Source organism: Homo sapiens, chromosome 16 (assembly GCF_000001405.40).
Source record: "Homo sapiens chromosome 16, GRCh38.p14 Primary Assembly".
Lineage (NCBI taxonomy): Eukaryota > Metazoa > Chordata > Mammalia > Primates > Hominidae > Homo > Homo sapiens.
The window spans coordinates 47,255,287-47,271,955 of NC_000016.10; the positions used below are offsets into that span (position 1 = coordinate 47,255,287).

Here is a 16,669-nt window from a genome sequence, read left to right on the forward strand (position 1 = left end):
AGGAAAAACTCACTGTCACTCATCATGTGTTACTCTTTCTGTGCATTTTTGGTGTAAGCCTGAGAAATTACGTAAATTAGAGTTTCTAGTCACACAGAATCTGCAAAAGATGGGTAGACTTGAGAAGTTAAACCAGGAAAGGCATTTCAATCTTTTCAAGAAATGAATGACTGACTTAGTTGTGTCCCTAATATCAGCAAACAGGTCAAGGTGGAAATCTGACTTTGAATTGGAGTTTCACCTATTTTGGTAGAATGCTTCTTAGAGACACAGATGAGTCAGAGGCATCAAGTGTTGCTTAAGTACTAGAGAAGAAGGGAACACTGTTAATCAAGATAGCCAATCCATGCCTCAAAAGATAGCTGGACATTTATTTGACATAAATTTATTGAATGTCTCCTATGTACCAGGCCCTGTGTTAGGCACCCAGCAATCAAAGACAAATAAGACAGAGGCTGCTCTTAAGTTGCTTAGATCATTAAAGCATACTAGGAGTAAGAGAGATGTTAATGTGAATGACACAAATAAATAAGCCTAGATTTCAGAGTGCTTGCCAAGCATTCTGAAATGGATGGATGAAGGAGAGATTAAATGTGATATTAAAATAAATGAAGACTAAAAATACGCTGCTTTTCACCAAGAAGGATGATGCTCGTGAGCAAAGGTAAAATAACTGATTTTATTTTATTTTTTTATTTTTTTTTTTGAGACAGAGCCTTGCTCTATAGCCCAGGCTGGAGTGCAGTGATGTCACCTTGACTTACTGCAACCTCTGCCTCCCAGGCTCCAGCCTCAGCCTCCTGAGTAGCTAGGACTACAGTCACGCGTCACCACGCCCAACTAAATTTCGTATTTTTTATAGAGACAGGGATTTCACCATGTTGGCTGGTCTGGTCTTCAACTCCTGACTTCAAGTGCTCTCCCTGCCTCAGCCTCCCGAAGTGCTGGGAGGACTGATTTTTTTTTGAGATGTTTTCATCCTAGAAATTGTGTGACTTCTGTTTGGTTCCCCTGGGAACTCAAATCTGCAGCAGTTAAATGACTGTCCTGGATTTAGTAGTTTATCCCTAAGGAATCAAATCCCAAACTCTTACTCCAATACTCATTGTTTCAATTAACTGAACTTGGTTATTCTAATTACATACACAATTAGGTTAGCAAAAGTTTTAAGAATTTCTTGCCTTCTTATCTAGAGGTGTCCAGTTGAAGAAGGACAGAGATAAGGAATGTACTTCAACTCCAAAATTAACATCATACCAAATAAACAGTATATTTAAATTTTTTTAGCTTTAAAATAGCCAAATAATACTTTCTTGAAAATGGCAAAAGAGAGGACATGGATAATTAAAAGTATAGAAATGATTAGACTCATGTATCAGTATTTTGTGGCTGCAGTAATAATGAAGATAGGTGAAACTCTTAGCTCAAATAAGACTGAATTTGCTGTTTAGAAAGGAAGGATGCATGTTATATCAGTTTCATCTCTCAAAATAAATCTCAACACTAATACGTTCTGTTGCTTTTCTGGGTTCAGCTATTTATGCTTGTTTCAAAACTGTAATAAATATTTCTACAAAGTACATGTGCCTTTTTTGGTCACACAAATCAACATGGGTCTCTTGGTGTTGGCTATCACAATAGTAATGCAAAAACAGTCACCTCTAACACCAGTTCAGGATAGAACTCTCAGCAAAGTAGGAATAGGGAGAACCTCTTTAATATGATACAAAGCATCTACCAAAAAACTCTATAGCTAATATAACACTTAATGGCGAAAGCCAAAATGTTTTCCCCTTAACACTGGAAACAAGACAAGTGTGTCCACTCTCACCACTTATTCAATATAGTAAATGAAAATTCTAGCCAGCACAAGAAAAATAAAAGACATAGGGATTAGAAAGAAAATTATCTCTCTTTGCAGAAGACGAAGTTGTCTATGTAGAAAATCCCAAGGAATCTTCAAAAAACCCTCCTAGAACCAGTTAGTGAGTCAAGCAAGGTCACTGTATACAAGATCAATACACAAAAATAAATTTCATTTCCATACACTAAAATATGTGGAAGCAAAACTTAAAAACACAATATCCTCTACAGCCATCTTAAAGAAAATAAAATACTTAGGCATGCACTTAACAAAACATGTACAGGGTCTTTATGACAAACATGGGGGTCAGGTGGAGGATACTACTAGCATGGGTGGGAACTGGTTACAATGAAAAAATAAGTAACACAATGAGGAAAACAGAAGTCACGTTTCTCACTGCTGGAAGAGATATCTACAAAAACAGACGAAATTAGAAGGAACCCTGAAGTGCTCCATTTGGATGAAAAATGAAATTATTGCAACGAATTCATGGTTTTATAGTTAGCTCATACAAATGTAAATAGATGTAAAAATAGTTACAAATGTGTAGACTTGTATGTACATATGTGAATCCATACCTGTTTTCTCCTAGCTGTGTCCATTGAGAGAACCTGGAAGAAATGACAACCCAGTAGCAACGAGCACACTGGGCAACCATTTCAGGATGTGGTTTTGAAATACTGTTCTCTACTAAAAGAGAGAAATGTCTGATTCCTTGGAGAAATGTCTGATTCCAGGCTTGGGACAAGGGGGGTACAAGATGAACAGTAGAATGTCAATTGATGGAAATAGAGAATCATTATTTGACAAATGTAGAAGGTTGATTCAGGGAGTTGTCAATGTACTCTAAGGGTGCTAGGCAAAAGTTTCATAAAGAAAAGCCTATTAATGTAATATCAGAATATTGCCCCCCAAAACACTAATGAATTACAAAGGGGAAAACAGTGAGTTTAGGGTAGAGAAACTTGGTGATCATCAAGGTGACCAGGTGAACAAGGTTAACATCATGGTGGTAGGACAGGTGAACATCATGTGCTTCCTGATATGATGCACTGAGAAATGCACAGCATCAATTCTGCAACTCCTTGCAGTGGAATTTCTGCAAATAATTCATGACCTAAGTTGGGTAATGAGGAAACAGTGCTATCTCACAGAATGCAAAGCCTGGATTCTTTAAAACTGAAAAGGACATGAAAAATAAGAAAAGACTGAGGAACTGGTCCAGATTGAAGAAGTCTGAAAAGATGGGACAATTAAATGCAATAGATATTTCTGGACAGAATCCTGGGCCAGAAAGAAAAAACAATATTGTTGGGACAGCTGGTGAAATCTGAATGGGGTCTATGTATATAGACAGGATGGTGCTGTACTGGTTGATCTGATCTAGAGGGTTGTACATCGGAGCATGTCCTTGCTCTTTGGAATATGTGGAGAGAGGGGAAGAGAAAGAGAACAAAATTAAATGTTAGTACTTTACTCACCAATAACTTTAACAAAATAAGCATCTGCTTCAAAGTTATTTTTTAGTGTATGAATGGCAAAATCATTCTTTGTATATCCTTTACTTAGCACTACAATGTCCAAGATTCCCTGGAAAAAAACAAACAAAAATGGTAAGAACAAACTATTAGACCAACTAAAAAAAAAATGACCATTAAAATGCATGGCATATTGTTTATAAAGTAAATGTAGCCTTATTTATTCATCCTCATGTTTAAAATAAAATCGCTATTAAAAATAGGTAGTATATACACCCAAGTTTCAATAGTAAAATATAAATAAAATAAAAAACATCTGTAATTTTAGTCTCTGGAGATAATGATTAGCATTTTGCTATGTTTCTTTCCAGTCAAATTTGCATGAAGTTTCAAAGGCCCATGATGTGGACCTGCCAGACCCTTTCCAACCATCAGGGGGAGTACCTTTTCATCTGCCCTTGCCACCACAGCATTTTATCATTTGCTTTCAAAAAGGAGGGAGCTTTGCTAATTTTGTCGAAGGAAATAAATGTATGCTTATTTAAATTGATATTCCTTTGATTCTTTTCATGAAGTTGGTCATTTATCATATTTTTAAATATGTCAGCAACTTGGCTTTTTGTAGTAAACTATGTTCTAGTTTTGCAGAGTATTTTTGATGATATCAGTTTGTATAAGCCCTTTTATATTATGAATATTAACTATTTGACTTTCATAGAAAATTTATTTCCCAGTTTTAAAACAATTTTAAATTTCATTCATATTTTTGATGTACAGAAATTAAAAATGGATTTGTAGTCAATTCTCTTGCTTTGTCCCCTTGTGATATTTCTGTCAATTACTTTTATGGTTGGAATCTGCTAATGAAAAGTGAAATAACACAAGATTTGATTGCAGGAGAAACGGGAAAACAAGGACCTGAATAATTCATATAATTGAGAATAAGTCTCTTATAAAAAACAAAATAAAATCAAAAATGGGGTAAATGGGGACATAAATGTCCTATTGGGCACTTAACTTTTAAAAATAAATTATCTTACAAGGATATACTGTGATACATTAATTCTGGAATTTAACATTGCTTTTTTCAGAATTTATTATTTTTCAGAGCGGTAAACTGGCATTTCACCTTAGAAAGGGGAAAACTGGAACCTTAAAGCCTTTCATAAGGTCACCTGGCAATCAGTCAGAGTCACAAGAATCTGTGGAAATAGACGCTACTCTGCGTCACAAAGATAAAACTGAGCACTAAACTCATTCTTTTGTGATCTTGTGCAGATTCAAGGGTCTGTTATTTGTTGGCTGTAAATTTTTTTTTTTTTTTTTTTGAGACGGAGTCTTGCTCTGTCGCCCAGGCTGGAGTGCAGTGGCGCAATCTCGGCTCACTGCAAACTCTGCCTCCCGGGTTCACGCCATTCTCCTGCCTCAGCCTCCCCAGCAGCTGGGACTACAGGCACACGCCACCACGCCCGGCTAATTTTTGTATTTTTAGTAGAGACGGGGTTTCTCTGTGTTAGCCAGGATGGTATTGATCTCCTGACCTCATGATCCGCCTGCCTCGGCCTCCCAAAGTGCTGGGATTACAGGTGTGAGCCACCGCGCCCGGCCTGTTGGCTGTAATTTTGTCTACTGTTGAACATTCAGGTCTGCCAGTCTTAGAGCATGATGCTTTAGTGGTTTAATCCAAATATGCCCAAAATGAAGTAAGAGAGTTTTAATATTTGACTGTACTGATCAGCCAATGTTGTCAATAGATTTGTTTCATCTGTCATTTAACATTAAAAGGGGCTTTCCTTAATTAACTCATTTGCTTTTTGTTGTGTTGTCCACATTTTCTGGTCAAATGGAATGAAGCTAAAGTGTGACAAGGTGAAAGGCAATTAAACTTCAAACACACAGCCCAGCTCTGAACTCACATCTTCGTAAATGTCAAAGAAGGTGGCAACCATGGCATCCTTAATTTGATTTAGGTCTGTCAGCTCCCAGTAGACTTTAAACATTCGACGCGCCTCTTCACAGCTTGCATTATTACAAGGGACGTTCTCCAGTAAAAAGGCCTGCTGGTTGCTGTGCGCCAAAGGAAAGGCATTTCGTTAATATAAACATCAACACTGTGGCATCGGCTCTGTAGTATTTCCTAGATTAAAAGGAGACGGTAAACGGTACACAGTGAAATTACACGAAAAAATCTCCACATTTTTTGTTTATAGTACTGTCATTAAAAAATTGTTGGCTATCCCTTTTCAACCTTTGGCAAAAATCCTCTGATTTTGTAGGCTAGTTGGTTGCTGGCTTCTTTCCTTTTCTATGGAGTTTCCAAGTCCATCCCTTCTTCCTCATTTACTACTCTATAGTTATTGACCCTCAGTTCCTGCACACTGTCATTATCTGTTTAGATGTGTATTACTTTTCACTGAATATCTACATTTTAACTAGAATGTCTCATAAACTCAAAGCAATGAATCTATTACAACAGAATTTCAGCTGCTCTCATAGGTGGTAGGGCAGATATTGCCAAGCATCTCTCAGATAACAGAAGCATCATACGTTGCATAGCCATGAAGTCTTCCCTCTTGAATCCTACTCTAGAGGCAAAGTATTTATGAGCTTAGATTCTGGAGCTAGATTACCTAGATTCAAATCCTGGCTCTGTTATTTAGCAGCTCTGTGGCCTTGAGTGAGTTATTTAACCTCTAAGACTCAGATCCTCATTTGTAAGCTGTATAATAAGAGTACTTAGAGCATAGGTTGTTAACATGAAATCAAACACTGCAAGGAAAGTTACTTAGAACAACTCCTGGCATCCAGTTAGTACTCAATGAAAGTGTTTATATTATCTTCATTTTTACTATAGAATGCAATACAATGCCATGTAAAAATATTTTCTTTAGATACAGAAGTAACTTTGTAAAGTGTTATTTTATGTAATAGCTCCTAGGCATTTTCCCAAAATATGTATATTCTTTCACTTTTCTCTATGCATATAGAAAATAATAGATGATACGGCCTAAATTTTATTATTGTTTAATTTTTCTCTAATAATAATTACTTTTCATTTTTTCTTGAGACAGTCTCACTCTGTCACCCAGCTGGAGTGCAGTGGTGCAATCTCGCCTCACTGCAACCTCTCTGCCTCCTGGGCTCAAGTGACCCTGCCATCTTAGCCTCCGGAGTAGCTGGACTACAGGTGTGTGCCATCATGCCCAGTTAATTTTTGTATTTCTTGTAGAGACAGGGTTTTGCCATGTGGCCTAGGCTAGTCTCAAACTCCTGAGCTCAAGTGATCTTCCTGCCTTGGCTTCCCAAAGTGCTGGGATAATAGGTGTGAGACACCATGTCTGCCCTCTAATAATTACTTTAAATAAATCAGTACATAGAGATTTCTTTTGTTCATATAAAAATATTACTGTGGCTCTGGGTGAGTTTGATTATAAGAAAGCAAAATTTCTAAGCGTTTAACACAGAATAGAAACCAATGTACCAAATATTCAATTTGCATGATGTCTGGTAAATATATGATTGGATTCAAACTATTTTTCCAGATGAAAAATTCCAAAACAAATAGTTTACCAGAACAATTCTTTAACAAATGAAAAAAATCTTTCAGACCATAACATTTACTTGGAAAACTCTCAGGTGACTTTGTTCATGACCTATTATAGAACAGTATTTGTCCACTAGAAAGAATAAATGATTTCTTCTTTGTCTCCTGTCTAACAATGAATTTTAAAATTCTAATTTATAAAAATTTTTCCTGGTAACTTACCCATCCTACCCTTTTAGCTAAAGAGTTTTTCTAGATATTTCACAGAGATGTAGCACACTCTGTTATTAGAAGATTGTATTAAAACATGAGAACATGTGATAAAAGCGGACTTTCTACAGTATTCTATAATCTATGCATCATATGGTCAACATTTGAGTGAGCATGCATCCTTATTTTCCTTTGCAAAACTACTGCACATATTTCATTATTATAAGTCTGGTCACAATTTCAAATATACAACAACCTACAACAAAAACCCTTTTGCAGTCATGCAATTTAAAATGTTATTCCTTCTTTTGCCCACACTAGACATGGAACTGGTCAGCTATTTGGAGAGGCTGCTATGAACCAGTGCAGGTTTTCTGGACTCACAGTTTATGCAGATCTGCTGGATCTGGGTCCAGGGAGTCCCACTGATGGGCTGAGGCTGGCCATGCCCAGCTGGGGAGTCTCAGAGGAGCAGGGAATCAAAATGCTTCCTGGAATCACCACCCTGGTCTTCAAGTTCTGGCATGGAGTCATAGTTGCAGCAGACTATAGGGCTGCAGTGGGTGCTTACATTGCCTCCAGATGGTAAAGAAGGTGACAGAGATCAACCCCTACCCGAAGCCATCATGGCTAGGGGCACAGGGAACTGTAGCTTCTGAGAATGGCTGTTGGCTCGGCAAAGTCAAATGTATGAGCTTTGAAATAAGGAATGCATCCCTGTAACAGCTGCCTCCAAGCTGCCTGACAACATATTGTATCAGTACAAAGGCATGGGGCTGTCCATAGGCAACATGATCTGTGGCTGGGATAGGAGAGGCCCTGGCCTCTGCTACATGGACACTGAAGGGAATCAGATCTCAGGGGCCACCTTCTCTGTAGGTTCTTGCTCTGTGTATGCTTATGGGGTTATGAATCAGGGCTATTCCTATAACCTGGAAATGGAGCAGGCCTATGATCTGGCCCATGAGGTAAGCTACCAAGCCATCTACCAAGCCACCTGCATAGATGCCTACTCAGGAGGTGCTGCTAACCTCTACCATGTGCAGGAGGATGGCTGGATCCAAGTCTCCAGTGACAATGCAGTTGATCTTCATGACAAGTATGATGGATCTACCCCAGGAGGGAGGGTGATGTAGCTGTTTGCATTTCTTGGGTGACTGTCATTGGTAATATGGATACAGTGCTTCATCTTATCTCTAGTGGAGGGGTCTTCAACTGTATCAATACTTTTTTTTAAAGCTGTGGAACACTGACCTCTATGTGTTACCAGTCCTTAATGAGCTGCTGCAGAGGTGGCTATTTTACTTTCTTGGATGTTAAGGTACTCTACTCACTACTTTACCTGAATGAATGAATGAATGAATAAATAAATACATACATACATAAATAAATGAATAAAATGTCATTCTTAATTTTTGATATCAGTTGGTAAAGATTACAAATGTCTTAGAGCTCCCTAGCTACTTTGGTCCTGTATTGTGAAACATGAGGTTCGTAACAGTTCAGTTCTTTAAAATTCTACAGAGCTCTACAAGTAGAACCCAGCATCTTGCCTTTAAAAATAAAATTTGATTTAAGCCAAAGGAGGAAGAACCTTTACCCATTTGGTTTAGAAACTATTGGCGACAAACAGTCTTGCTTCTTTTTAGTCAGTTTCTCTATGTGTTCTTGGCAATTATAACTAATATATCTTAAACATTTTTTTATTAAAAATGATTACAAAAGCAATCATAACATTCAATAGAGAGATTTAAAAAGTCAAAATCCTTCCTTTCCAGGAATAATCAATGTTAATAATTTGGTATGCATCTTTCTAAGCTTTCTTCTAGGCACATATAAATATGTAAATACATATAACCTTAAAAAAAACCTAATTGGGTTCTGATACATATATTTTTCTATAATATTTTTCTTTCCACTACATTATATAGCACACACAAAAGGGAATGGGATATAGTCTGACTGAAGACTTTTGATCCCTATATTGAAAACATCCCCCATGAGAAGGTGTACCAATTTAAGTCTCCCATTAGTAGCCTATCAAATTGCCTGTTTCTACACAGTCTCATGTTTTTCCAATGGTTATTCCATTATATGGCCAAGCCATCATTCATTTTAACACTATGCTATTGATGGTCAGGTTATTGCCAACTGTTCTCTATTACACACACACACACACACACACACACACACACACACACACACACACAGAGATAGAGAGAAAATTTTTCTTTGGGAACTTGTACGAGAAATTCCAGATGACAGTCATCTGGTCAAAGGATATGGATATTTTAAATGACAACAGTTAAACCTAAATGGTCTCTGAAAAGCTATACCAACTTTTATTTCCAACAATGTATGAGCGTCTTTTCATATCTTGCCGGTATTAGTAACATTGCTTCTTACTCTTGACAGTTGAAGAGCTTAAAAACAACTTCATTCTTCTGATGATGACAGCAGCTGAGTATTACATTTATGTTTATAAGCCATTCACATTTTTCTGAAGAACTGCCAATTAAAATTATGTTCTCATTGATTTTTAGATCTTTTATTGTTAGAGACTTTAGCCACTTATCTGTTAGTCTCATATCCTTGTTTGTAAGATGGAAGTCATAATAGTACATTACCTTCAAACAGCTGTTCTAAGGATTGAATGAGAAAATACATTGTAAAGTGTTCAGTATAGTGCCTGGTATAGCACAGTACACATTTAATAACTGCTATTATTATTATTATTATTATTATGTACTGCTGTTATTATTACCTGATATGTTGTAAATACTTCCCAGCCTTTTATTTTTTTTTTTTAAATTTTGTTTACGGTACCCTTCACTAAAAGGTTTTTAATATTTATGTAGTCATTTATGTCTATATTTTTCTTTATAGCAGTATAAGAAATGTTAAAGGAAGTCTATCAGGCAGATGGAAAATGACACCAGATGACACTCTAGATCTACACAAAACAAGGAACACTGAAAATGGCAAACATGTAGGCAAACAGAAAAGTCTTTTTCTTATTATTTAAATTTATTTAAGGAGAATCAACTGTCTAAACAAACAAAAACCAACATAGTATGGTGTTAATAAGGTAGTAGATGTAAAATGTGTGATAAAAATAGCACTAAAACCAGAAGAGGAGAAATATAAATATACTATCATAAAGGTTCTGAAACTATACGTGAAGTGCTATAATACTGTTTGAAGATAGACTAGGATAAGTTAAAGATGTATAAACACTACAGTATTCACTAAAATAAGATTTCTAATGAATAAATCAACAAAAAGACAAAATAGAATCATAAAAATACTCACTTAATTTAAATGAAAACCTTTAGAAAGAGGACAAAAACCAGAAAGTAGATTTTGACAATATCAATACTGACATGAAATATAAAGGGTCTAAACACACAAACTACAAGCCATACGTTGTGAGATTGGATTAAAAAATGAAGACTCAACTATATATTGCCTCCAATATAAAGATACAAATAGGTAAGATGTAAAAGCAGTGATAAAAGATAGATCACCCCAAGGAAGGCAAAAAGACAACCCACAAAATGGGAGAACATGTTTGCAAATTATATCTGAAAAAGACTTGCATATGGAATATACAAGAAACTCTCACAATTTAATAACAAAAGACAACCTAATTTAAAAAATGAACTAAGTAGCTGAACAGACATTTTTTCAAGGAAAATATATACGAAAATATATACGAACAGCCAATATGCACATGAAAAGATGTTCAACAAAATTAGCCATCAGAGAACTCCAAATCAAAACCACAATGAGACAACACTTCACATCCAGTACAACAGGTAAAATTTTTTTGTTTGTTTGTTTTTGTTTTTTTGTGATGGAGTCTCGCTCTGTTGCCCAGCCTGGAGTACAGTGGCACAATCTCGGCTCACTGCAACCTCTGCCTCCCGGGTTCATGTCATTCTCCTACCTCAGCCTCTGGAGTAGCTGGAATTACAGGCGCCTGCAATCATGCCCGGCTAATTTTTGTACTTTTAGTAGAGATGGAGTTTCACCATGTTGGCCCGGCTGGTCTTGAACTCCTGACTTCAAGTGATCTGCCCACCTGGGCCTCCCAAAGAACTGGAATTACAGGCGTGAGCCACTGCACCCAGCCAGACAGCTATAATTTTTAGAAAAAGATAGATAATAACTAGTGTTCAAGAAAATGTGGAGTAATTGGAAGCTCATACACTGTTGGGAGACATGTAAAATGGTACAGCAGCTTTGAAAAACAGTCTAGCAGTTACTCAAAAGATTAAACATAGAGTTAAAATTTGACACAGGATTTTATTCCTAGATATATTCCAAGGAAAATGAAAACATGGCTACACAGAAACTTATATGGAAAAATGTTCATAGTCGTAGTATTTAAAGGGATCAAAAGGTAGAAACTATCCAAATATCTATCAATTGATGAATGGATAAACAAAATGTGGTATATCTATATAACAAAATTCTATTTGGCCAAAAAAGGAATCTATTATACAAAGACATGGCTGAACCTTAAAAACATGCTAAGTGAAAGAAGCCAGTCACAAAGGACAACATATATTCCACTTATATGGAATGTTCAGAATAGGAAAATCTATAGCGATGGAAAGTAGACTAGTAATTAGCTGGGGCTGAGGGAATTGGAGGAAAGGGGGAATGACTGCTTAAGGGGTAAGAGCTTCATTCGGGGTTAATGAAAATGTTCTAAACTTGAAGGTGATGGTTATATAACTCTATGCATATTCTAAAAACCATTGAACTGTATACTTTAAGTGGGTGAATTGTATGGCAAGTGATTATATCTCAACAAAACTATTTACATAGGTTAAAAACAGATATAGCAAGTTAAGGCAAATAAAAAGAAAGCTGGAGTGACAATATTAATAAGAGAGAAGGTAGACTTCAGAACAAAGAATATCACCAGAACAAAGAGAGTCATTTCATATAAAAGAGTCAGTTCTAGAGAACATAAGAATCCTAAATGTTTATAGGCCTGATGACATAACTTCAAATAACATGAAACAAAAATTGAAAGAACTGTGGAAGAAACAGACAAGTTCACAACTATAGTCACGGATTCCAATATGTCTCTTTTAATAATTGATAAACTAAAAGACATAAAATCAACGAAGATAAAGAAGACTCAAACAATAATAACCAATTTCACCTGACTGACGTTTATTGACCACAACCCAGCAACACCAGAATATATAATCTTTTGACGTAACATGAAATATTTATCAAGATAGAGCATATTCTGGATTCTGAAACAAGTCTCAATAAATATAAAATAATTTAAGTCATACAAAATATTTTCTCTGATCATAATGGAATTAAATGGGAAAGCAATAACAGTTATTTCAAAAATTTCCAAATTTTTTTAAAACTGAAAATAAAACACTACTAAATAAACCATGAGTACAAAGAAAAATTCGAAAGTACTTTGAGCTGCATAAAAATGAAGCCATCAAGATTTGTTGTATGTCACTATAGTAGTATTTAAAGGACTATTTATATCATTAAACACCTATAGTAGAAAAGAAGAAAAGTCTCAAACAAATGACCTCAGTTACCTTCTTAAAAGCCAAAAATAGAAGAGCAAATAAAATGTAAATTAAGGAGAAAAAAGTAAATAATAGTAGAGAAAATCAGTGACATAGAAAACAGGAAAAAAATAGAGAAAAATCAATGATAACAAAAGCTGGTTTCTTGCAAAAAACAATAAAATTGATAAGCCTTCACTCAGAATGGCCATTAAAAAAATAAAAAGGAGAAAAGGTAAAAAGTACCAATATCAGAAATGACAGAGTTAACATCACTACAAATTTTAGGGATTTTAAAAGGATGATAAGGGAATGTTATAAAAAACTTTGTGCCAATACAATTGATAAGTTAGATGAAATGGACGAATTCCCTGGAAGTCACAAAACACCAAAGCTTACTCAAGAAGAGATAAATTGAAATTGCAGTGTAACAGTCTCCAAAAAAGAAAACTCCAGACCGAAATGGCTTCACTGATGAATTCTACCAAATATTGAGAGAAGAAATAATACACGTACTACACAAACTCTTTAGAAAATAGATGAGAAAGACATACTTCCCAACTCATCCTGTGAAACCAGTGTTAAACACCCAAATGAAAGACATCATAAGAAAACTACAGACCAATATTCTTCATGAGGATAGATGCGGTGTTTTAAAACAAAATTCTAGCCAATCAAATTCAATAATACAGTCAGATCTTGATTTGCACAGTTCAGTGTTCATTGAAACGTGTGCATTTTTTGAACCATGTCTCTGCTCTGTGATTACCAGCCAATCACACAGAGAGGACATATTTCTGATAAGAGCATGTTTCAGTGAACACAGCATCTTGCAAAGTGAACACTGTAGGAATATTATAATTACTAAAATCATGACCAAGTTGAATTTATTGCAGGAATGCAAAGTTCCTTTAATATTCAAAAATAAATCAGTGTAATTCATTAGTTTAACAAACGAAAAAAAGGAAAATAATACAATCATCTAATAAAAGGCAGAAAAAGGATCTGACAAAATCCAAAACCCATTTCTGATCTAAACTCTCAGCAAACTAGGAATAGAAGAAAAATTCTCAACACTGTAAAGGGCATCTACAGAAGACCTACAGTGAACATCATACTAATGGTGGAAGACTGAATGCTGTCCTCCTAAGGTCCCTGTTCTTACAAGGCAAGAATGCGTGCTTTCACCACTTCCACTCAGCAATGAATATACAGGTTCTAGCCATTGTAAAAGGAAAGAAAAACAAAGGACATCCGGATTGGAAAGAAAGAGGTAAAACTGTCTTTATTTGCAAGTTATATGGCCATGTACTTAGAAAAATCATATGAGATCTAGGAAAAAATTACTAGAACCAGTAAGTTTGGCTAGGTGGCAGATATAAATACAATAGTCAAGAACAATGGAAACTGAAATTAAAAATACTGGCTGGGTGCAGTGGGTCACACCTACATGTAATCCTAGCACTTTGGGGAGGCCATGACAGGAGGATTGCTTGAGCCCAGGAGTCTGAGACCAGCCTGGGCAACATAGAAAGACCCTGTCTCTATTAAAAAAAAAAAAAAAAACTTGAAAAAAAAAAAGTACCAGGCATAATAGCATCAAAAATATAAACTACTTAGGTATAAATCTGACAAAAGATGCATAAGACCTGTACATTGAAAACTAGAAACACTGTTAAAAAATTAAACATCTAAAATAAAAAAGCTATATATGCACTACATTCATAGTCAGAGGATGCAATATTGTTAAGATGTCATTTATCCCCAAATTGACCTATAGTTTCATTGTAATCCCAATAAAATTCTCAGCAGACTTTTTATTTGTATTTCTTTTGCAGAAACTGACAAACTGACCCTAAAATTTATAGGAAATACAAAGAAACTAGAACAGCCAAAATAACTCTGGAAAAGAAGGAGGGCATATACTATCTGAATTGACTACTCATTTTAAACAATAGTAATCAAGTGTGGTACTGCCACAAAGATGGACAATAGATCATGGGAACAGAAAAGAGAATGAAGAAATATACCCAAACATATATTGTCAACTGATTTTCATCATGGATCAAAGGCAATTGAGTGGAAAAAGAAAATATTTTCAATAAATGGTGTTGGAACAATTTACAAAAAAGGAACTCGGATATAATGGATCACAGACCTAAATTGTAAAATCCAGACCTCTTCAATTTCTAGGGCAAAACATTGTGTTAGGTAATGATTTCTTAGTTACGACACTAAAACCATATCTATAAAAAAAATTGAAATATGGTACTTTCCCAAAACTAGATACTTCTCCCCTTTGAAAGACATTGTTCAGAAAATGAAAAGATAAGCTAGAGATCTGCAAGAAAATATTTGCAAATGACATATCCAATAACAAAGGACTTGTACCCAGAATATATAAAAATCTTTCAATATTCAATAATAAGAAAACAAATATCCTAATTTATTAAATAAACTAAAATTAAAACTACAAGAACATCTACTACAAACAGAACAGATAAAATTAAAAAGACCAACCATACCGATTTTGGAGAAAATGTGGAGAAACTGGCATGTCTGCCATTTTCTTAAAAAGTTAAACATGCATGTTTCAAAAGACATAGCTACCCCATTCCTTGGTATTTACAAAGGAAAGCACATGTTCAGACAATAACTTGTACATGAATGTTCACAGCTGACTATTTGTAGCAGTCAGACCTGATATAGATCTAATTGCTCATCAACGTGTAAATGGATATAAGCAAATTGTGATGCATCCATACAATGGAATATTCCTCAGGAATAATAAGCAAAGAGCTAAAGATACATGTAAAACCATGGATAAATCTCAATATTATTATGCAGCGTAAGAAAACCCAGACATAAAGGAACAGATATTGTGTGATTCCATTAATATAAAATATTAGAAAATGCAATCTAATCTACAGCGACAGAAAGCAGATCAGTGGTTTCCTGTGGGATGGGGAAAGTGCTGATTACACAGGGTTAAGAGGAAACTTTTGTGAGTGATGGATATGTTCATTATCTTGATTGTGGTGATATTTTATAGATGCATTTGTATACCAAAACATATCGACTTACAACCTTTAAAGATAAGTAATTTACTCTGCCAATTAAACCCCAATTAAGCTATTAAAAATACATGAAACTCTCATGATAAAAGCACAAATAAAAATAACAAAAATAAACTTGACATCATCAAGTTTGTGCTTCAAATACTATCAAGAAAGTAAGATGACAACCCACAGAAAGGGAGAAAATTTTTGAAATCTCATATTTAATAGGGGACTTGTATCTAGAATGTATTAAAGAAATTTTACAACTCAATAGCAAAAAGACAAATAACCCAATTATTAAAAAAGCAAAGAATCTGAATAGTTTTCCAAGGAAGAGATACAAATGGCCAACAAGTACGTGAAGAAAGCTCAACATCATTAGCCATTAGACAACTGCAAATCAAAACCACAATTAAATAACACTTCACACCCACCAGGATGGCTAAAATAAAAAAGACAGGTAACAGAGGTTGGTGAGGATATAGAAAAACGAGAATACTTGTATAATGTAGACGGGAATATAAAATGGCAAACCTGCTTTGAAATACAGTCTGGTGGTTCCTCAGTTAAAAACAGAGTTCTGGCCGGGGCACTGGCTCACGCCTGTGATCCCAGCACTTTGGGAGGCCGAGGCGGGTGGATCACGAGGTCAGGAGATTGAGACCATCTGGCTAACATGGTGAAACCCCGTCTCTACTAAAAATACAAAACAATTAGCTGGGCGTGGTGGTGGGCGCCTGTAGTCCCAGCTACTTGGGAGGCTGAGGCAGGAGAATGGTGTGAACCCGGGAGGCAGAGCTTGCAGTGAACTGAGATCACACCACTGCACTCCAGCCTGGGCGACAGAGCGAGATTCCATCTCAAAAACAAACAAACAACAAAAACCAGAGTTCCACCTCTAAAGAATATTCTACTCCTAGGTATATCTCAAGAGAAATGAAAACATGTCTACATAAAAA

General features: G+C 35.6%; 1 protein-coding gene and 1 pseudogene across 2 annotated transcripts in view; one reads left to right on the forward strand and one right to left on the reverse strand.

Annotated features, from left to right (window-relative positions):
• ITFG1 (integrin alpha FG-GAP repeat containing 1) overlaps positions 1-16,669 on the reverse strand; it is a 306,856-nt gene that overhangs the window by 100,896 nt on the left and 189,291 nt on the right. For both annotated transcript variants that reach the window (NM_001305002.2, NM_030790.5), the window contains exons 11-12: positions 5,259-5,409; positions 3,346-3,454 (exon numbers count right to left, since the gene is read on the reverse strand). In NM_001305002.2, the coding sequence (NP_001291931.1) occupies positions 3,346-3,454; positions 5,259-5,409 (260 nt within the window). The remainder of the gene's footprint in view (positions 1-3,345; positions 3,455-5,258; positions 5,410-16,669) is intronic.
• Positions 7,412-8,434, forward strand: LOC100422275 (proteasome 20S subunit beta 5 pseudogene; annotated as a pseudogene).